The sequence below is a fragment of the Homo sapiens genome, chromosome 22 (assembly GCF_000001405.40).
Source record: "Homo sapiens chromosome 22, GRCh38.p14 Primary Assembly".
NCBI classification, from domain to species: domain Eukaryota; kingdom Metazoa; phylum Chordata; class Mammalia; order Primates; family Hominidae; genus Homo; species Homo sapiens.
The window spans coordinates 29,699,178-29,719,941 of record NC_000022.11 but is presented as its reverse complement, the minus strand read 5'-3'; the positions used below and the strand labels follow the sequence as shown (position 1 = coordinate 29,719,941).

At 57.3% G+C, this 20,764-nt stretch overlaps 1 long non-coding RNA gene across 2 annotated transcripts, besides 2 other annotated features; it reads left to right on the top strand.

Annotated features, from left to right (window-relative positions):
* The first annotated feature begins 38 nt into the window (after positions 1 to 38).
* Positions 39 to 14,686, top strand: CABP7-DT (CABP7 divergent transcript). Of its 2 annotated transcripts, NR_186695.1 has the most exons (3): positions 39 to 394; positions 13,708 to 13,811; positions 14,513 to 14,686. It is a non-coding gene; the product is annotated as a CABP7 divergent transcript (long non-coding RNA). The 2 variants fall into 2 exon arrangements; NR_186694.1 differs by lacking the exons at positions 13,708 to 13,811; positions 14,513 to 14,686 and adding an exon at positions 7,947 to 8,136.
* Positions 2,915 to 3,115: a silencer, noted in NCBI's record as "peak4478 fragment used in MPRA reporter construct". NCBI's record gives its function as "represses an SCP1 promoter by STARR-seq MPRAs in K562 erythroleukemia cells {active_cell/tissue: K562}" and the evidence as "EXISTENCE:reporter gene assay evidence [ECO:0000049][PMID:32103011]".
* Positions 14,109 to 14,772: an enhancer, noted in NCBI's record as "H3K4me1 hESC enhancer chr22:30101159-30101822 (GRCh37/hg19 assembly coordinates)". NCBI's record gives its function as "activates a minimal SCP1, AML or CMV promoter by ChIP-STARR-seq in naive H9 embryonic stem cells {active_cell/tissue: H9 hESC(naive)}" and the evidence as "EXISTENCE:reporter gene assay evidence [ECO:0000049][PMID:30033119]".

Here is a 20,764-nt window from a genome sequence, read left to right as displayed (position 1 = left end):
CCACCCCCAGCCCGCCCCTTCCCGCCGCCGGCCCCTGAGCGGCCGCCCCAAACCTGCCCGGGGCTCCTTCTCCCCTTCGGCCCCGATTCCCCTTTCCCACTAGGGCTCCCCTCTGTTCACTGGCTCTCCTCACCCTAAGTCTGCAGCCACCAGGACCAGGGAGGGGGTGGGTTGCGGGGGTCCTCCTTCCTGCCCCTTGGCTCACCTTCCCCCATCCACGCACCAGGAGCGGAGAGCCCGGAACTAAGAACTGTAGACCCAGAGAGGTGAGACTGGCCCCAAGCACCTGGGTCCTCAAGAAGAGTCACCGTTTCCGTGCCAGGAGGATCCAAGGTGGGGAAACTGAGGCTGAGAGAGAAGGACGTTGACCAAGGTCACAGGGCAGGAGCAGCAGGTAAGAGCTGGGTACACGTCTGGGGTAGGCTTCCTGCCCTGCCTGTGACTGACACCCTGCCGCTGACCTTGCTCCCCACAATGGGGCCCCAGTCCCGGACCCTTCCCAAGCCCCTACCTTTCAGCTTGCAGAAGAGGAGCCAAAGTGTCTCATGGCCCCCAGGGCAGTTCGGGACAGAGACATGGCCCGGTGCCTGTGGGGTCTGGTGTGAGGGCCTGCCAGTTCACATGGCTGCAGCTCAGACCTAATGTATGTGCAGGGCTTCCCCAGGCCCCAGGGCACGTCGGCACCCCAGAGCTGGGGTGGGGGCAGGTGTTTGAGGGAGCAGCCTGCGTGTGCATATGTCTGCTATCCATGAGGGTGTGTATGTGCCACTGGGCACGTGCGCAGGTGTCTGTGACTCCATATGCAGATGGACAAATGTCGGGAGTGTGTGGCCACCTGTGTGTGCCAAGGTTGTACGCTGGCAGGTCGGGGGAGGTGTGCAGGCCCTGGGGCTGGGAGTGGTGTGGGCATATGGTGCACAGATGTGCATGGGAGGGGGTGACCTTCTGGCCTGGCTGTGGCCCCATCTCTGGGTGCTTCCCTGAATCCCCCTACTGGGACCACCTCCCTGCCCCCTTTGGCCCAATCAGCTAAAGGTCCCAGCAGGAACGCTGATTGCACAGCCCTGCCCGGTCCTGCCCTGCCCTTCCCAAGCTGATTACACTTTTCTGCTTGTTTCTGTTTTTGTTACTGATTAATCGCAGCCTTGTCTCAGGGTCTGGGGAGAAGGGGCTCAGTGAGAGATGCTAGCCCCAGCCAAGCGGGGTTGGGTCAGCCTGGGCCCAGCACTTCCTGGGCCCTGCTCTGGAGGGAGCTCCTAGAAACATCTATAACCTGCGGAGGAGCCAGGAAGGACACCAGCTGTCTGTCTGTCTCCCCAGACCTCTCCGGGCTAGCTGGTTGCCCACTGGGACCTGGGCCTGGAGGTGAGAGAGGCCCCAGAAAAGCTCCCACCCCACTCCAAAGCTCTCCTTGCCCACCTGTCCCATCTTCTGACCTTCCACCGCTAGAGCTGAATGCCTTGAGCTTCCCCAGTGTTTTTGATGGAGCAGAGACTTGAGGAAGTAAGAACCCAGCACCAAGAGCCAGGCAGACTGGGGCTTCTGCATCCACCATCTCCTCACCATGGAACTACAGTCAGGTCCCTTAACCGGCCATAGCCTCAGTTTCCCTGCCTGTTAAGGTGGCAGTGCCACATCCCAGGCAGCGGTGAGGATGAAGTGACATAATGTAGGAAAGGTGCCGGGCATCACCTCCCTGAAACTCTTGGGAGTTTCCTATTAGCATGAACATCCCCCCCAAGGAATAGGAATTAATAATAATTATAGCTTCGAGTATTGATTGAGAGAGCGAGCCGCAGCAGCAGCTCAGTCGTTCCACGTTTACTAAGTGTCCAGGCTGTGCCAGCCCAGGCCTGTCAGTTCTAAATCAGAACCCCTGGGCCAAGGGAGAGTGGGCTAGAGCCTGCTGAGAGGCTGGCAGGAAACCCAGCTCCCAGTGACTCCCTGGGAGGCCGCTGCAGAGCGTGTTGGTACTCGCCCTGTGAAGGGGAAGCTCCTGGGCTTGCTGTCCAGGTGGGTATTTTTTTTTATTTTTTTAGGTGGAGTCTTTCTCTGTTGCCCAGGCTGGATTGCAGTGGCATGATCTCGGCTCACTGCAACCTCCGCCTCCCAGGTTCAAGTTATTCTCATGCCTCAGCCTCCCGAATAGCTGGGACTACAGGCACATGCCATCACACCCAGCTAATTTTTGTATTTTTCGTAGAGAACATGTTGGCCAGGCTGGTCACAAACTCCTGACCTCAAGTGATCTACCCGCCTTGGCCTACTAAAGTGCTGGGATTACAGGCGTGAGGCACCACTCCCAACCCATGGTGGCTTTTTTTTTTTCAAGTCAAGGGAATTCCAGGGGTCAAGAGGAGGGTGGGCAAAAGCTCAGAAGTGTGAGAGGGCCTCTCTTAGCTCTGAAGGGCAGGTCTGGGTCTGGGTTCTCCAGATCTCCTACGCTTGGCACAGGACTGGAATGGGCTAAGGTGGCTGGGGCTGGATGAACATCTGTCAAATGAATGAACGAGAGAATTAGTGAATGAACGACTGCCCGCTCACCACCGCCCCCCGCCCTTCGGCATTGCAGCCCCGTCCTCTCCTCTGTGCGTCACGGGGGAGCAGATGGCATGATCACAGGGTGTGAATTATGTCTGTCGCTCCCCCATCTGGGGAAGGTGCTGCTGCCATCACACTGCACTCTCTGGGGTGCCCACCGGGAGATGCCTGAGCCTCAGGTCCTCCCAAGAGGGGTTCTCCACAGGCCTTGCTAACTAATCATTGGGTCAGGAGGCTAGAGACACTGGGAGAGGTGACACGCTGAAACCTGTGATTCCAGGGGGGTTCCCCAAGTGGGAAGGAGACAAGGGGAGAGAGGTGGGAACTGCCATGTTCAGAGGCCAGACTCTTCCCTCCCTGAGACTGGAGCCCACTCCTTTCAAGAGCAGCACAGTCCCTGCCCTCCCTGGCCAGAGACCTCTTGTCCGAGGCCAGCATCCTCTTGCCACATTCAGCACCAGGGAGAGCTCCCAGCAGAGCTCAGGGCCCAGCTGTGTAGAGTGAAGCTGTGGAGGGACCCACAAGAGCCGGCCAAGGCTATCAATGAACCCATTGTCCAAACGAGGAAATCAAAGTGAAGAGGGTGTAAGCTTCAAGTTCAAGATCATGCTGGGACCAATAATTGCAGCCCTACCCAAGCCAGGGCTCCTGCTGGGGGAGAAGGTACTGGAGGAGGGGAGGTAGTGGTGGTAGGGAGGGGATGTCCAGGGAGGGCAGAGGCTATGGCCTCTGCTCCTAGGCTGAGGAACAATATTGTTCCAAGAACGCACTGGGGACAGTGTCTGGAGGTGAATAAAATATTCATTGTCCGGGCAAACTCCCGAAGTCAACTAATGAATAATGGAATTTATAGACTCAAAGATGCACACCGGGCTGAGAGGGGGTGCAGGCCAGAACCCAGAGGCCCCAACTGCTCAGATCCCTGCTCTTCTCTGGCTACCCCCCTCTGAACGCCCACATGCCCAGCTCTTGAAGGTGACAGGAGCGGAAAGGACAACAGGGAACAGAGTCCATGTGAGGGAAACAGAGTGAAGGGGACAGGCCCTTGAATTTGTTGCTATTGGGGGAAGGAACTTGGTGATGGGAAAAGAGCACTGGACTCGGAGTCCAGTGCAGCTGGGATGAAGTCTGACCCCTGCTACCAGCTCTATGACTTGAGTGTAGCCCCTGCCCTGGTCTCAGTTTTCGTCCCTGTAAAATGGAGTTTATGCTGCCACCACACAGCTTGCTGCAGGGATCTGCTGAGGTGACAGTGCTTGGTGCTGCTGTCCGAGGCTGGACCTTCTGAGCCTCCCTCTCAGGCTCAGGGCCCAGCTGCGGAGGGTGAAGCTATGGAGGGACCTAGGAGAGCTGGCCAAGGCTATCAATGAACCCATTGTCCAGACAAGGAAATAAAAGTGGAGAGGGTGTAAGCATCAAGTTCAAGGTCATGCCAGGACAGTATCCCCCGGCTGCACTGGGTCCAGCTGGAAGGGAGGGGAGACATGGTCCCCAGAGGAAAGAAGCTGCCAGCCCTCAGGGCAGGGATGATGTCAATAACTGCAAAATCCTGGCTCACCCTGCCACACATTCAAGTGCACTGCCCTGTATCCCCCCGAAAGGTTCTGCTCCCGTTGGTCTGGGCTGGGAGCAGAAACTTGGGGGGTGGGGCAGGTATTCTTCTAAAGCTCCTCTACGTGCTTCCAGGGTGCAGCCAGGGTTAGAACCAATGTTCCAGAGGGAAACTGAGTCTGGATAGGGGTAAGAGGAGCCTGGGGATGTCCCCGTTAGGAAATCACAGAGATCCTGTCCCTGGCGTCCTCTGGGCCTCCACCTATGCCCGGGGCCTGGCGGGGCTGCTGGCTGGGAGGCTGCCCCAGGGATCAGAACCTTCACAGATGGGAGGGGGACCATGGGTACTGCAGGCCTAGCCCTTGCTCCCAGACCACTTCCTGAGTGACAGCTGCGGCAGCTGGCGGGAGACGAGGCGCGAGGCAGCTCCTAATTGCTCTGGGCTCCCAGATCCCTGCCTCAGTCTGTTGCCTCTGATGAGACGCTCAACCAACTTGCCTGAGGCGGCTGCTCCCTGAGAAGAGGCCCAGCTCCCATCTGCCCGGGCATTAGCCTAGGGTGATAGGTGGAGGAAAGTCACCTCTCCTTGCCAGGTCCTGGAGCAGGGCGAGGCTGGGACCCTGCAGTCCCCCAGGGCCTGTCCCCCTCCTCTCTGCATCTCTCTGTGTCACATAAAGGGCTTGTGCATAAGCTTCCACTTCAACCAGGAGCTGCGCAGGTGTTGAAATAGACAGACTTTAGGAGTTTGTGGGTAAATGAATATTTATTTCACCTCCAGACACTGTCCCCAGCAGGTTCTTGGGACAATATTGTTCCTCAGCAAGGAGCAGAGGCCATAGATTCTGCCCTCCCTGAATACCCACTTCCCACCACAGGTACCTCCCCTCCTCCTTCTCTCCCAGCAGGACCCGCGGCTCAGGTAGGGCTGTGATCAACAGTCCCAGGATGACCTTGAACTTGGTGCTTACACCGTCTCCACTTTGATTTCCTCCTCTGGACAATGGGGTCATTAAAATATCCAGGTGCTGCCAGGTCAGCTTTGTGGCCTTGCCCGGCACACCCTGCCCCCCAGGGGGCACAAGCATGGCTTCATTAAGGGGTTCATCAAACCCCTGGGAATATCACTGGACCTCTGAGTTTTGGTGCCTCACCTGGGAATAAGGGCACCTGTTTCTCAGGATGATTAAGAGACGAGAGACGCTGAGCCCAGGGCCCAGGACAGCACAAATATTCCGGCGTCGGCTGGCGATGTCATGGACCAGGAGCCTTTAGCACACCTGCCTGGGGCTGAGCGTTCACGCTATGGCCGCCTCCCCATCTCCAGCTGACTGAACCCTTCCTGCTGCCCTGCCCTGCCCTGCCCTGCCCCTGTCCCTCTCTCTTTGTGGAAGCACTTCTAGGGCAGAGATGGAGAGCAGGAGACTGAACGTCTGGAATTCTTTCCCAAGAGGACCAAATGATTGATCTGGCTTCAGTTATCCAGCCCAACCCTGCCCCTTCCCTATGCGTGACCTGCTGTCTTTGCCTGCCACATGTGGCCTGGGTGCAGCCTCTGCACACCTCCAGAGACAGGGAGCTCACCCCTCTGAAGGAAATGGCTAGTATTCATCAAGTCCCTGGGCTCAGGCTTTGTGCTCAAATATCTTTCCTGTTTTGAGACAAAACACTGGGGGCCCCTACAGGGGCACCTGCTCATCAACTGGGAGAGGGACAATACTAACCTGTGATACCGCATCAGAGTGGAACCTCTCTCCACAGTGGGGGACACCCTGTGAGGTTGGCACCCTGAGCCTGTGGCAGCGAGAGGAGCAGGGGAAGGAGAGCAGGGGAAGTGGGGGCCAGACCTTCAGATGACCACCCCCGTCCCTTGTCCCAGGGCTCAGCTGCTGAGAGTAGCCCGACACTGAAAGTCTAGAACATGGAATAGATGAGTTTTGTCCCCAGGGAACATGAGGGAGGCCCAGACTGGAGGCATTGCCAGGGAGAGGCTGGGCTTGGGGAGCCCCTGCGCCCCCTGCCACCAGCAGATCTACAGGGAACTGGGCTCTAATTCTGTGGAGTCCCTGATGTTGGGGACTGGGCTGGAGTGGGGTACGAGGGCCCCGGTGGATGGAGGGACTTCCTCCAGGGCTAAGCTAGGCCCACACCCCTGGCTGGCCCCCCACCCAAGGGTCCGAGGATGGGCCTTGAGGCCTGCAGTGCCCCATCTGTGCCGAGTCTAAGTGATGAAAAATCGACAGCAGTTTAATTGGTGATTTTAGTCCTGGACAGAGCAGTAACAGCGTTACTAATTGGATCGTTAGAGATTTGTGCTTTATGGCTGTGTAATTAGAGGAGCTGCAGGGGTCCGGGTGAGCTAGGGGGCTATGTGGGGCCAGGGGCAGGGAAGAGGGGCGGGGCCCCTTCCCGAGCTACAGCTGGGTCATTGCTAAGACCTCCTGCTCTCCTGCTACTCCTGGGGCAGCTGGGTGAGGGAGGCTTGGCCAGGGGTCTACACACCACTCCTCCTAGACTCAGGGTCCCATCAGGTCAGGAGGAAGAGGGCTATGAGAGCATTTCACACAGGGACAATGATGGTCACTCCCCAGGTCCTCACAGGCCAGGGTGGAGGGGCTCCCCCAGCCTAGTCCTTCCCTGTGTCCTCACACACCTGTCCCCTGGGCTTTCTGGGGCTCACAGGGCTCTGTGCAGCCTGGCCCATGGCCACAGCCTCACCAGTGCCCAAGCCCACACAGGCAGAACCATAGCCCTGTCCCCTGGCACTGGTGGCCCCCAGGGCACTGGGTGACCACAGTGTGTCTTCATTTTAGAATAGGACAGGCTCTTAGGTCCTGTCCTCCAATCATTTCTCAGACGAGGAAACTGAGGCCCAGGAGGGAAGGGGACATCCTGTGTGCTCCACGCTGGTCCTAGATGTGTGTGTGACAGCCCCGTACACCAGTACACGGGTGTTCATTCTACACCCACAGGAGGCAGCACCTGGGCTGACCATCTAGAGTGTGGAGAGCGGCTGAGGTGGCCTGGCCTCCACCCCAGGCTGCAGGGTGGACATTGGAGGTGCCTTCCTAGGGGGTGGGGAGGGCGGAGCATCCCTTGGATTGAGTTCATAAAAGGCTAGACCTGTTCCTGCACTCGGCAAATACCTGCTGGATGAAGGAGTGAGAGGAAGCAAAAAAAGGGGCGGAAGGGAGAGGAGGAGGACAGACAGATGGCAGAGGGCCTCTGTCACATGCTCGGCCCCTGGTCCTCTAGGACCCTCCCACTGACCCTCCAACATCTCCCTTTGGGCCCTTAAGCTACCACCAATCACTCCCCCAAACAGCACGGTCCCTTCCCAGTCCTCCAGTGGCTCCCACCCTATTCCAAGGAAGAGCTGAAGTCAGCAAAGTTGCCCCAGGACCCACAGTGTCTCCCTCCTCCCCTCTCTACTCTCATTTCCTCCCCCAGCTCACCTGCTCTGCTGGCCTCGCCTGGCAGGCGCACTCCCACCCCAGGGCCCTTGCACTTGCTGTGTGCTCTGCCAGGAATGCTCTCCTCCCAAATACAATCACTTTTTCAGGTCCTTCCTTCCTTCCTTCCTTCTTTCCCTTCTCTTTCTTTCTTTCTTTCTTTCTTTTCTTTCTTCTTGCTTTCTTGCTTTCTTTCTCTTTCTCTCTCTCTCTTTCTTTCTTCTTCTCTTTTTTCTTTTTTTCTCTTTTTTTAGAGACAGGGTCTCACTCTGTCACCCAGGCTGGGTGCAGTGACACAATCATAGCTCACTGCAGTCTCCACCTCCTGGGCCTCAGCCTACCGAGTAGCTGGGACTACAGGCATGTGCCACCACACCCGGCTAATTTTAAAAAATTTTTTTGTAGAGACAGAGTCTCGCTATGTTGCTCAGACTGGTCTCCAACTTCTGGCTCAAGCGATCCTCCTGCCTTGACCTCGCTAAGTGCTGGGATTACCGAATGGGAGCCACCATGCCCAGTCTTTACTCAAAATTCACCTTCTCCCTGGGTCTTCTCTGGAGACCCTAGCTTTAAAAATAAACAAGTAAAAGACAAACCTTGCCCTTCTCCTAGTGACACCGCAGACTCCTTCCTTGCCTGGGGCTGGGTTTTGCTCGCTGCTGCGTCCCTGGTTTTGGGGTACACAGAGGATGCTCGTACTTAGTTGTGGGATGGATGAAGAGCTAGGGACTGCCTGCAGGAGCGGCCCTGGTAGGCAGGGCCAGGTGGGGGGCAGGTTTGTGGGTTTGGGGACAGGAGTGGTGGCTGAGACGCCCCTGGCTGTGAACCTTTTTCTTCCGGCTGCCCCAGCTCCCACCTGTCCCCCACCCATCCCCCCGGCAGCAGCTCAGTCAGGAGGCAGCACCCCAGCGACCTACATCAGCACGTTGCATGGCGAAGTGGAGGGGCTGGGGAGATAAAAATCTCTGTCCTCCTGCCAAATGCCACAGAGCCGCACCACCTCAGACCTTCCTGGCTGTCAGTCTGACCTCCACTCCCCTTCAGCCAGGTCACCCTGTGGCCTCCAGCTGCCTCCTTCAGGCTCCTGCCATCTGGGGGATGGGGGTGAGGTTGGGGCCCCAAGAAGACCCCTGTTCCCAGGCAGGTGTCCATGCCTGACATCCCACAGAGGGGGTTGCACCCGAGCCCAGAAATACCCTGCCCAGCTGCCCGGCCCAGCCTCCTCGGCATGGCTAAGTGATGTATGGCCCGCTCGCCCTGCCAGGAAGCAACAGCAGATGGACGGGCAGTGCCTGGGCGGGCTCAGAGCCAGGAGCCTTGAGCAGGGGGTGGGGAGAGGCCTGGCTCTGGAGACAGCCATTCCCGGAATGCCACCTCCCTGACCGAGGGCAGGACAGCAAGTGCGGGATGTTTTGGGCATGGCTCCCATGCTCTGGCCCTTGGCGTAGGGAGTGCAGGGAGCTGGAGGTGGGGGGTTCTTGCCCTGCGTAGTATCTCTCCAGGCCTCAGTTTCCTCATCTGTAAAATGGCGTTGAAGCCCCATTGGGAGGCAGTGGGGGGTACGAACTGAGAGAATGCACTTGAAGCAGAGCCCTGAACCCAGCGCTGCAGGCCTGTCCCTAAATCCCCGCTTCCTCCTCCTGAATCTCCCCACCAGAGCCCTGGCCTCACCTTCCTTTCCCGGTCTTTGGGAGAATCCCACAGCCAGACGTGGAAAGGACCTTGGAAAGTCAGTTTAGCCTCCCTCCGATTTTCCAGATGGGAAAACTGAGGCCTTGAGAGAGGAAGGACCTATCCAAGGTCAGGCGGGAGGGCTGGAGAGGCCCCTCGTGGTAGCTGCTGCAGGAAGCCCCCTCCCCACCATGGGGACATGGTAGCGTGTGGCGGCTGCTTCGGCCACCCAGCAGGTGGGGAAGGACAGGCAGGACAGCGCTGGGCACAGGGAAGAGGGCTGGGGGTGCTGGTGCAGCTGCTGCGGCCAAGTCAGGATGCGCCAGACGCTTCCGTGGGCTCTGTCTGCGTCCAAGGAGACCAGGACACTGGGCGGACGGACGGTGTGTCCTTGCCAGCTGGGCCCGGAGGAAGGATGAGGGAGCAGAGAGAGGGGTCATTCTGGGAACCAGGGCTGCCAGCGGGGCCAGGTGACATCTCCTGCCATCTGCTCACCTGCCCTGCTCCCCAGAGGAACAGGGACCCCATGTGGGCTCTCAGTGTCTGTGGGCATGTGACACTGATGTGCACGAACAGGTCTGGGTGGATGTGGGCTGTTGGTGCAGATGTGTGCATCTGTGGCTGGGTGTCTGGGTGCCAGGGTGGATGTGCACACACAGGGGTCTGACACTCTGAGGACCCGGGGCCAGGGCAGATGCAGGTGGAAACATACATGTGGCAAGTGTGCACACATCACAGGCATCTAATGTGCGGTGTACATGCACGTGTTACAGGTGCTCACTCCACATCCATTAGGCCCTGTGCAAGCTCAGCCTCAGTCAAAAGGAACAGGGGCTGGCCAGGCGTAGTGGCTCACGCCTGTAATCCCAGCACTTTGGGAGGCCGAGGCAGGCAGATCACCTGAGGTCGGGAGTTTGAGACCAGCCTGACCAACATGGAGAAATCCCGTCTACTAAAAATACAAAAATTAGCCGGGCGTGGTGGCACATGCCTGTAATCCCAGCTACTCAGGAGACTGAGGCAGGAGAATCGCTTGAACCTGGGAGGCGGAGGTTTCGGTGAGCCAAGATCGAGCCATTGCACTCCAGCCTGGGCAACAAGAGCGAAACTCTGTCTCAAAGCAAAAAAAAAAAGAACAGGGGCAGCTTCCCATTGCCAGATGGGGAAACTGAGGGCAGCAGCCTGCCCAAGGCAGCCAGGTTCCTGCCCGGTCAATTCAGGAGAATGATGCCTGCCCTGGCCTCCTGACAAGGTGGGGCTCAGACAAAAACATGTCCCACCCTGGTAGGGGGCAGGATTGACCCTGAAGACAGGCTCTGCAGCTGGTTATGGGCTGGGAAAATATCCTGAGGCGTGGGTCATGCTTTGTTCTTGTTCTGAGCAGGGGCAGGACATGGGCTGTGGAATGGCAGGGATGGCAGGGTCTCTGCTCAGGCCCAGTGGCCAGGAGCTTTGCAGAGGGGTGTCCTACCTGGAGGGTCGCCTCTCCAAGCCTCAGTTTCCCCACCTGTAGAATGGAGCCCCTACTTCTCCCGGGCTCCTGCTGGGAAGTGCTGATGGGATCCCAGACACCAAAGCCATGCCGTGAAGCAGAAGTCTGGGGACCAAGGTCATCTCAGGAGCAAGGCGATGGTCCTGACCACAACAGGCCATACCCCGCACAGGCTCCCCTGCCCACCTGCCAGCCTGGGAGGGGAGATGAGCTAGAGGGGATCCAAGGTGGGGAGGCAGGCCTTCTGGTTCAGTTAGTGAAGGGATTTGTCATTTTAATGATGTGATATTTCTTGCCTGGCTCCTGTCCATGGCGGCGCGAAGGGGACAGCTGCCTCCCTGAATGAGGAGTTGCTGGTGCTGGTGGGGGTGTCCTCAGGCTGCTGAGCCTCTACAGGCAGAGGGGGAGGGCGCCTGGACATGGAGGTCCAACGGGCCGAGAGCTCTCACCGAGCATTGCCTCCTGCCCAGCTCTGTTTCTCTGCCCCGCATGACCTTTTGGGTGAATCCTTCCCCAACTCCGAGCCTCAGTTTCTCATCTTTAAAATGGGGCAAATGCGACCACCCCTGGCTTCTGGTACTGACCGCCGTTGGTTCCAGGATTTCACATCCCTGCTCTTCGCTGGCTCTTCCAGTATCCCCTGCACCAGGGCTGATCTGCTTCTGCATTTTTCTTTTCATTTCTTTCTTTCTTTTTTTTCTACTTTTGAGACAGTCTTGCTCTGTCGCCCAGGCTGGAGTGCAATAGCACAATCTTGGCTCACTGCAACCTCTGCCTCCCGGATTCAAGCGAGTCTCCTGTCTCAGCCTCCCAAGTAGCTGGGATTACAGGCGCGTGCTACCACACCCGGCTAATTTTTGTTTTGTTGAAATGGAGTCTCGCTCTTTTGCCCAGGCTGGAGTGCAATGGCGCAATCTCAGCTCACTGCAACCTCCGCCTCCCGGGTTCAAGCGATTCTCCTACCTCAGCCTCCTGAGTAGCTGGGACTACAGGCACATGCCACCATGCCCAACTAATTTTTGTATTTTTAGTAGATGGGGTTTCACTGTGTTGGTCAGGCTGGTCTCGAGCTCCTGCCTACCCTGGCTTCCCAAAGTGTTGGGATTACAGGCGTGAGCCACCATGCCTGGCCGTTTTTGTATTTTTCATAGAAATGAAGGTTTCACCATGTTCGAGCCAGGATGGTCTCGAACTCCTGACTTCAAGTCATCTGCTCGCCTTGGCCTCCCAAATTGTTGGGATTACAGGCATGAGCCACTGTGCCCTGCCTTCTTTTCTTTTTTTGACACAGGGTCTTGCTCTGTCACCCAGCCTGGAGTGTAGTGGGGTGATCATGGCTCACTGCAGACTCAAACTCCTGGGCTCAAGCGATCCTCCTGTCTCAGCCTCCCAAAGTGCTGGGATTACAGGTGCACAGCACCACGCCTTGCCTGCTCCTGAATTTCAGCAGACCTTCAGCATGCCTCCTTCCCTGGCAGCAGCAGGGTCTTTTGGAAATGCCAACCTGGCCCAGCACCCTCCTGCCCTGGGGTGAGCCCAAACTGGCCTTGCTTCACCTCTCAGCCTGCCCTGGCCCTTGCCCCCGTCCCAACCCCACCATCCTGAACTTGTCACTATTGTGTAGACATGCCTTGCCCTTTCTCACATGGAGGCCTTTTTAGAAGCTGCTCGCTTTGTCCTGTGAAGACTCCTTGCCCTGGTCCCTCGAGTCAGCTCAGAGGCTTCCTCTGGCTTGCACAGTCACCCTCTGCTTGCCCTGTGACCATATTTGTCACATGGAGGGTGATGGCTGGTTTCCTAGTCTGTTTTGCTCACTGCTTCATTCTAGCACATAGTAGGCCCTGGTGAATACGTGTTTGTTGAATGACTGAATGAGCATCCGCAGACCTACCCTGCTGACCCTGGTGTGCAGTATCCAGAGTGCAGGAGGCAGCCTCGGCGAGGGTGGCCCAGTGAGTGGCCCATCCATCAGCCTGGCACTGCGCCTGACCAGATGGAGCCGAGCTCCTGGGGAGGGGGAGAGGAGGAAAAGATCCATCACCCAACGGTCGGTCGGCGGGTGTGTGTGCGTGTCGCACCTGCCCCCCGCGGGATCCTCATCCATCATGCTGTCCCTGCGATGCTGGCTGGGGGCCAGCCGGCTCCTCGGGGTGGAACCTTTAGAAAACTGCTGCTCGCTGGTGCACAAGGGAAACTGAGGCCTGGAGAAGGGCTGCAGAGGTTAAAAGTGGGGGCTCAGAGTGATAGCTCTTGTGGGACTCACTTGTGTGACCCGAGTGAGTCTCGGGAGACCACATCCTCATCTGTAAAGACTGGGGATGCAGCAGTGCCCCCCGCCAAGGGAGAGGAGGATGTGCAGAGGTGGGCATTGTGCCTGGCATGCAGACAGGGCTCAGGACAGGCTGGCCTGGCTTGGGGGTGTGACCCTGCCTGGCCCCTGCCTCTTGGACTGACAGGAGGAGGAGGCGGAGGCTTCAAGCGGTGGATTCAGGCGGGACTGCCTGATTGTCTGGGCCGTCATGGGGAAGGAGACTTTGACGGATGCTCCTCCTGGCCAGAGAGGCGTGGGGAGTGGGTGGCTGATTGATGATTGGGCCCGTGGTGATTACAGCTCAGCTGGCCCAACCAGCTGGCCAGGGGGACATCAGGCCCCGTACCCTCTCCCAGCCCCCACACCCATTTGCTGGGAAGTCACCGCCTCCCTCTTCCTCCTTCTCTGCATTTTAATTATAAAAACAAGCCCTTTCCAAGCCATCATTTCACCTGAATTGCACAGCAGCCTGGGAGTGGGATGAGTTTCTCAGGCACTGAGATGCTCGAGATGGGTAAACAGACACTCATTTATTCACTGAGTAGATATGTCCTGGGCACCTACTACGTGCCAGGTGCTGTGCTGGGCATGGTGCTGGGGATGGGGGCCAGACAAGTAGGCTTGGGCCACCAGCTCACCCCGGGCACTCTGGAGGTTACATGTGGCTCAGTCTGAGTTTTGCATCTGCATAGGCCTGCCAGATAAACGCAAATGTTATGGGACATCATCCCTTCTGGTGGCTCGAGCTCCCTGGCATTCTGGGTCCTCACTCTGTGCCAGGCGCTGTGCAAGCACTGTAAGTACATCATCTTACTTACTCATCCAAGGCAGACATCAGTGACCCCGTTTTCTAGCTGAGCAAACTGGAGCACAAAGAGGTGAAGTGTCTTGCTTGGGGCCCCCAGCTGGAGGAGGCAGAGCAGCATCTGCTCCCCAGACTTGGGTTCTTTCCTCCTCACCAGGGAGCACCGAGCCCAGTCCCACATCCCAGGTTCCTCCCCTGCCATGAGGAGGGGAAGGCCAAGACCGGGACCACCACTGCTTAGCCCATACCGAGCCCCGCTGGGCCTCCCACTGCTGAGCCCCCTCAGAGGGTCGTGGGCTGCACCCAGGAAATGTGAGGGGAGGGTCTCCTGTCCCACCCACTCTGAGCGGGGTGGGGCTGGGGGGATTCTTCTCTGAGGTTGAGTTGCTGAATGAGCCAGGCCCATGAGGAGGACAAGGTTCAAGTCCCAGCTCCGAGAAGTCAGTTGGCCTCCCTGAGCCTCAGTTTCCTCCTCTGTCTTACATGGGGATAATGGTAACTCTATGGGGCTCTCATGGGGGTCTCTGGTGATGACTCCAGGTAAGGCCTAAGTGGGAGCTGCTGGCATTCACTGGGCCCTAGTGTGCCTAATGGTCGCGGCCTCCTCTGGGTACTGCTGTGAGGATTAGGGAGAGACCAAGTGTGCCGAGGCCCACTCAGGTCACTGCTGGCGTTCTTTTCATCCTCCCTAGGGCCTGGCCAGAGCAGGCATTCAGAAGACATTGTGGCCCCAACCCCACGCACACAGGATCAGTGCTGGGGTTGGGACGGGGCCCATCAGCCAAGCAGGTGGGTCCAGGAGGAGCTGGGAGGCTTGGAGAGGGGGCTGCGCTTAGCCTGTGCTGCCCTACCCAGTGGAGCTGAGCCGGCTCTAATGAAGTGGGCTAGCTGCAGGCCACATTGATTTCAAGTCTCCGTGGCCACTTCCCAGCTGGTAAATGTCACTGGAGAGTGCAGCCGTGGCACCTGGCATGGGTCCAGTAGTGAGTGGGGGCTGGCAGGCTGCCAGAGGGGCTGGGGATGCCCATGAAATGCTGATACCAGTCCAGGGTCTCCAGAGCCTCCAGACTCTCCCACCAATCCCTGAGGAGGGGCTGTGTCAGGCCAGCTGAAGCTGCCACCCCCCTGGGGACATCTGCAACCACCAGCCCCTCTCCTGCTGTCAATATACAATGGACTGATGCCCGTTGCTGGGAGGGTTGCCCGTTTCTTTACTGGGGGGGCCGTTTAGGGTGGTCTAGAGATGGGCCCAGGGCCCAGGAGTCAAGGCGCAGCCATGTGAGGACCCCTCCTGGCCCACTGCCCTCCCAACCCTGAGCTGTCTCCTTTGATAACTGGCTCAGGACAAGCTAAGAGTAAACAGCCATAACCACACAGCGGCAGGCCTTGTTTAATAAACTCTCACTGCAGCCGGCACTGGCTCAGAACCGGTCCCTGTGATCTCATTCAACCCCACAGCGACCCTGTGGTGGATTCTGAATGCACTCCGTTGTTCAGGAGGGGAATGTGAGGCTGAGAGGCCAAGTTCTTAACTCTGAGCAGCACTGGGGGGCCCGGACACCCCCATCCCCAGTTCACCCACGGTCCTCATGGGACCCCTTCTCTGCCCCAGCTCCCCACCCCCATCTGCCCTGCACCTTTCTCCCCTTCGCCATCTCATGGGATGGTCAGGAGGTGGGGGTTGAGGGGAGGGTGGTGGGGTGGTCAGGAGGTGGTGGGGGAGGGGAGGGGAGGGTGGCGGGGTGGTCAGGAGGTGGTGGGGGAGGGGAGGGGAGGGTGGCGGGGTGGTCAGGAGGTGGGGGGAGGGGAGGGGAGGGTGGCGGGGTGGTCAGGAGGTGGGAGGGGAGGGGAGGGGGGCGAGGTGGTTAGGAGGTGGGAGGGGAGGGGAGGGGAGGGTGGCGGGGTGGTCAGGAGTTCGGGGGTGAGGGGTCCTGGGGAGGCATTCACTCTTCATGTTCCCTCCCCTGCCTTAAACTTCTCTCTTTCTAGAACCTTGATCTTGATCTCCAGGTCTGAGGCCTGAAAACCAAGGTTTGCCCAACCCACCCCCATCCTAGACTCAGCATTTCCCAGGCACTCTCGAGCATCCTAAATTGCATCCATGTGCTCCAGCCTGGACAGGACCGAAGGTGGCTAATACCAGTCCTGTCACCGGAGGGTCAGAAGCAGCACGCTTGGGGCAGACACACAGCAGCCACCAAGTCAGGCTCCCCTGTAACGCTGGGGGAGAGACCTCACGGGGCCCCTGAGCCCAGTGGAGGTCATCCTTGAGTATCCACAGCTCTTGGCCCCCTGGTGTCCCCCTCCCCATACCTTCCCTGCCCTGAGGAGCTCCTGAGGGTGGGGTGTTTCCCTGAGCCCTGCCTTGCAGGGTTCTCCACCCTACACACAGCATGCACTGGACACAGCAGGGAGGGGACTCTGGACTGGGGCTGGGAGCTGCCCCCACCACCTTCTGAGGGGAAGAATCTGCCCCAGCTGGGAGCTGCTCTCCCAACTTGGCATTTCCAGGGGCCCTTCCTACGTGATGTGGGGAGCCCTGGCATCCCCAGCCGCTCTCCCCCTTCCATGGGAAAAGAGGAGGGAGGAGAGGAAAGCCGTATTAATAAAAGAATAGGATACTGCACTAACCCCACAGCATGTGCGGCTCAGAATAGCAATGCGCCTTCTCAAGGCAAACAAAACTCCCCAGGTGTTAATGCAAATTCACTCCAGTTAAGATGAAAGAGGGTTGTTTCCCCCTTTGCTGGTTAATATGAAGGACTTAATAGATTCAGCCTCAGGAACTCAGGAACTCGGGCTGGGTGCGGAAGGCTGGCGAGTGAGGAGGGGGAAGGATGAAGGCGTGGGCAAAGAAGGGAGGTCCCATGGGTTTCGGGGCAGAGCAACTGTCACAGCAGGCCCGGCCGACGCTGCGGCTCCTGCCACCCCCCTCTGCCACCCGGGCTGACAGGCGCTGGGCCTGGTTGCTCAAGAGGAAAACCCAGAGTGGCCATGCCAATCCCCGCCCTGGCGCCTGCTGCCTTTCACTTGAGCTCGGGGGCTGGCAGCATGGTGGCCCCTCCCGAATTTGTGCCAGAGGATAGTGGGTCCAAGAGAAAGGAGGGATGTGGTGGGAGCTCTAACACAGGCCCCAGGCTGGGGTCCCTGCAGGGCACCTGGTTCCACTCCGGCTCCCGGCCATGGCTGTAGCCATAGCCACTCCTGCGGTATCCTGGGCCAGTCACTCCCATTTTGGCTCCTTGGAAGGTGAAGCTGGCTTGACATGGCCTTGGAGGACCTCGGGGGACCAGTCTGTGGAGTTGGAACCTAAGGGGGCCTCGAGTTCTGCTGGTCCAAACCTGACCTTCTATAGCCAAGGCATGGAAGCCCAGAGAGTGGAAGGGACTTACTCAAGGCCACACAGCAACAGGCGGAGAGCTGCAGGGGATCAGAGCCCACAGCCAGCTGGCCTGAAGCGCAGGCTGGACCATTGAGCTGCCTTCTGCTGGGACAGACAGGGCCCTGTCCTCCCAGAGTGGAGCTCCTCTCCAGCCCCGGGCTCCAGGCTAATCTGCTCATCCCAGAGCACTTGACTTTCTCAGATATATTCCCTGGGAATTATCCTCTGCTGAAAATCCCCAGGGCCCAAGGAGGGCCCCTGCTGGGGAGGATGGAGACACCATGCGCAGCTTGCCACAGCAGGGGTGTGCCAGGGTTCCTGGGGAGGCGCTGCCTGGCTCAGCTGGGGATAAAGGGAGACTTCAGAGATCCGGGGAGGGCCGGCCTGAGGCTGGGCTGTCCCTGTCGGTCCACTCCACTCCTCCAAATTTAACTCCTCTCTCTCTCTCTCAGGGTAAATGGCACAGCAGGTGCCTGCCTGGGACACCTCAGCAGCCTTCTTTGCTTTGTTTACCGACTTAATTCCTTCAGATCAAAGGCTGCCCCTTCCTCCCTGAGCAGGCAGATGGGGAATGACATTATTTATATCAGAAATGGGCAAGGCTCCATGGGACTTCTTCCTTATGCCTGATAAGAGAAAATTAGGTCACTCCCGTGCCTCCCTGGCGTCTGCAGTTGGGTTTTTACAGCCCAGGTACTCACAGGCTCAGGGAAGAGCTCATGTGCACAGTGTGGCCCACCTGGTTCTCTCCCACCCTGAGCCTCCAGTCAATTATTGACCTGAGCAGCCAGTATTAATGGGACAAAATGAGAACATCCTTCGCAGGCAGCTCCAGCCCGGAGTTATCTATCATTTCCCGGGCTTTGCAGCTGGCACTGGGCAAACATGGGCTTGGACAAACAGACCAGCTGCAGGCTCATTAAGCTCAGGGTGCAGGTGGAGGGGATGGAGGCCACAGGGGAGCCGTGAGTGGGCCTGATCCCTCTGAGCTGTGACATCCCCTGAGTCACTATGGCTCTTTCCTTTGCTTCCTCTTGCCCTCTGCCCCCAAAAGAAGTATCAGAAAAAAAGCCACCGTGTACCAAGTGGTGACTCACATCTAGGCAAGGTGCTTAGAGCTTTCTGGGCATTCGTAATCCCCACAAAACCCTATAAAATTCCCATTTTACAGGTGAAGAAAACTGCAGTGCCCAATAGACTGGACAATTTACGTAGGCTCACATGGCTGGTCAGTGGCCTAGCAGGAACGCAGGTTTGTCTGTGTTCTGAGGCAGGGAGGGCTCTTAGCCTCTCAGCTGTGCCGTTTCCCCAGCTCCCCCTGCAGCTAATGGTAGAGATTTCACCTTTCTTCAGGCCAGCTGCGTCTATTACTTGTAAGTTACGGTAACACTGCGACAGGTCCACACCCCTTTTCTTAGAAACCTGAGTGCATTTTGTTCCTGTTTTTCACGTTATCCTGACAACATCCCCCGGGTACCCAGAGGCCTCACTGTCAACTGTCTTCACAGGGGGTGGAAGGTCTGGCCCTTGTGGGGAAGGAAGAGCCAGGTGCCCTCCACCTCTCTGCCCTGGGCAAGTGTGGCTTAGGGGAGGGGCGAGATGCCTCTGGCTGCTCCCACTGCGGAGCCCTTCAAGAGAAGTCTTGATTTCAGCTCAGAGGCAAAATGCCAGGTGCTATTCTGGGGCCAAGTTGGTGAGAAATGGGCATCAAGTGGAAACCAGGAGAGGACACGGCGGGGGTTCCTCTCCGAGTCAGCTCGAGTCCTTGCTGGGCAGATTAACGGCCCTGTAATTTTCCCCAGGTGCTCCCATCACGGCGCAGAGGTCCAGAGCCATCTCTCTGGAAGCGAGCTGCGGTCTCCCTACCGGAGCTGGGGCTGTGGCTAGGATCCTGCCATAATGCAGTAATGACAGGCTGCCAGGGAGCCCCACACGGCCTGGCAGGGGAGGGGGAGAGGAGCCCTTGGCCTCCCTCTCTCTGCTGGAGATGACGCTGCCTGGGCTGTCTGAAAGGGAGACGGAGAACATGCGGGTGCCCGACTTTCTCTTCCCCAGACGGCTAAGAAATTGGACTAGATACAGTCACAGCAGTCTTCTCGCCAATACCTTTCCCCCCAGAGTTTCACTGCCAACTCTTCATTATATGTGGGTGGCTCCTTATCCTCTCTGCCACACGAAGGCTTCTGGGGTAGGCAGCCCTGGGGAACAGCTGTCAGGAACTCCCCACTCAGGCGAGGACCAAAGGCAAAGAATGAAGTGCTAGCAGGGAGGCCAGAATGAGCCACTTGGGGCTCCGATGGGACTGGCGGCAAATGCCACAGTGAAGCACTGAGGTCTGGCCCCCCCGCTTTGCATTTACAGCAGGGTCACTACAGACTAGAAAAAACAGCAAAGAATTCAACTGATCTCCTCGATACCAAAATACCATTAGAATCAGTCATTGGAACTCTGGTATTAGTAATTCTAACTCTACTTAGCGGGGACCTCTGACCTCAGGTCCCATTTACTATTTTGGTGGGGGTGGGGGGGCGTCGGGTTGTCTTTAATAGAAAGGTTAGGTAAAAATATTGCCTGGACGGCTTTAAATGACCAATATTTTTCAAAGTGCTTTCTTTGGCTTAGACTACGGAGGAAATCAAACTGCTTCCAATTACTAAAAATAACAATCTACATTTGCAAAATGAGTTTATATTATTCATCTAATAAAAAGTCTAATTAGTTACCTTTTTTTTTTGAGATGGTCTCACTCTGTCACTTTTTTTTTTTTTTGAGACAGTCTCGCTGTTACCCAGGCTGGAGGGTAGTGGCATGATCTTGACTCACTACAGCCTCACACTCCCAGGTTTAAGTGATCTTCCCACCTCAGCCTCCCAAAAAGCTGGGCCTATAGGTGCAGCCACACCTGGCTAATTTTTAAATTTTTTTGTAGACACGGGGTCTCTCTATGTGGCCCAGGTTGACCAATTCTATATATTCAAAGCTAACAACAAATTGTTAAAACTTTTCATATTCTTGCCGGACACGGTGGCTCACGCCTGTAATCCCAGCACTTTGGGAGGCCGAGGCGGGCAGATTGCTTGAGGTCAGGAGTTCGAGACCAGCCTGGCCAACATGGTGAAACCCCGTCTCTACTAAAAATACAAAAAAATTAGCTTGGCATGGTGGCAGGTGCCTGTAATCCCAGCTACTCAGGACGCTGAGGCAGCAGAATCACTTGAACCGGGGAGGCAGAGGTTGCAGTGACCTGAGATCAGGCCACTGCACTCCAGCCTGGGTGACACAGTGAGACTCTGTCTCAAAAAAAAAAGAAAAAAGAAAAAACTTTTCATATTCTTTAGTTTATCCACTTCAAACATCTTTCTAAAAAAAAAAACAAACACAAGTTATGTATAACTCAAAACATTTTGGAAAGACGTTGTGTATTTTGATAGGCTGTTTTCCTCACTGGCTTGTGCAATGGAAACCTGAAGTATGTCCTGACAAGTGTGTCGAGTGGGTCCCTTAGAAGTCCCGGCAGCCACACTGTGCTGTCTGACTCTCCAACTGGGGCTGCAGTGCTTCG